Source organism: Homo sapiens, chromosome 8 (genome assembly GCF_000001405.40).
Source record: "Homo sapiens chromosome 8, GRCh38.p14 Primary Assembly".
In the NCBI taxonomy this organism is placed as follows: domain Eukaryota; kingdom Metazoa; phylum Chordata; class Mammalia; order Primates; family Hominidae; genus Homo; species Homo sapiens.
Window position 1 is genome coordinate 49,697,691 of NC_000008.11, and position 1,521 is coordinate 49,699,211.

Here is a 1,521-nt window from a genome sequence, read left to right on the forward strand (position 1 = left end):
TTCCCAGCTAAGTGAAATATTTGAATTAATAAATTGTCTCCAATTGTCAGCTGGGTCCTCTGAGAACCAGGAGGAGGTTCCATGTGCAAGAAACTGAGGAATGTCTGCTGGGAATAAAGGGAACAGGAGTGGTGTAGGCAGATACCTGGAGACTCTCATGCAGGGGAAATGTCTGTGAAAGACAGAGGGAAGGAAGGAAGCTTGGTTCTGAACATGGTTCTAAGAAAGTCTCCCCAGCCGAGCAGGGCATTGCCCTGAAAGGCTGCCTGTCGGCAGATGTGTATGCTGGGCAGAACCATCAGCTTTGCTGTCATGCCTGCTTGGTCACCACCTGGGGCAGCCACTGTGGGTGGTCTCAGTCTGAGCCGCAAAGAGACCCAGGGCATGACCATAGAGGCACCAGGGAGGGTGCCCCTGCCCAGGCCAGGGATGCTGAGCAGGTCATCCCCATGGCCACCATCCTCCTTCTCATACACACAGATACACCTGTGCTCTTAAGGGCATCCCAGGACATACTAGGAGCTCATCCACAGAAAAGAAGGAAGACAACACAAATAGGACCGGGATGGACATGCTCTCATGTGAGATGATATGTAGAGTAAAAGCTGAGCATTGAATAAGGCCTGAAATGTCATCTATTGGTGTTGCTCAGGTGACAGGTGACAGAAACACAATGGAAATCAGTATAAGCAGAAAGAGGCCCAGGATAGCACATATCTAGTGCAGGCAGAATGAACAGAGGCACAACAAGGTACACGTGTTTTTCACCACACTGACTTCATTTTCCAGTGGGATCTGTCTTTCTAGCCCTTATCCCCCACATACAAAAAGCTCAGGCAAAGACTTGGCCTCCGAGATGAAGTGGCAGTCTCACTTCTGAACAGAGCACTGTGAGGATTGCAGTGGAGTGCTCTGATCATTTCTTCTTAAATCATCGGTCCCCTTTCAAGTAAAGGGGAAATATGCAATTTCTGCAAAATCAGAGAACTGGAAATAATGACTATGGGGTGAGGGAAGGGTGGGTTCCCTCAGGAAAAGGAGTCTTGGCAGGAAAAAAGAAATAGGAGTATTAGATGCGGAGAAGAGAATGAGGGAGGAACTGCAGAGCAAGACTTTTAGTTTGTGCTCGTGGGTGTAGGGGGATAAAATAGATATCTAGCAGATACTAGACATCTGCTGCTGCCAAAAATACAGGGGATGTCTGACAAATGATCTACAGGCATGGAAGCCATCCAGATTCTTTTTAGAAGATAGCCTAGACAGAGATGAGGCTGGCACATTGGTTGACCTACACCTCAATAGCCAGTGCTAACAGCAATGTGCATACACTATACATTTGGGAACCATTTTTTTATAGGTGTTTTCATTGAAGAAATAAATTCAAACATTGCCAGAGGAAGTATCTGTAAATCATATCAATGATCTGTACACATATATAAGTTTACCATATAAGACAATACTCAGAAGGCAACATCATCAGATTCCCCCTCAAAACAATAAAAAAGAAACAATTACTCTAAA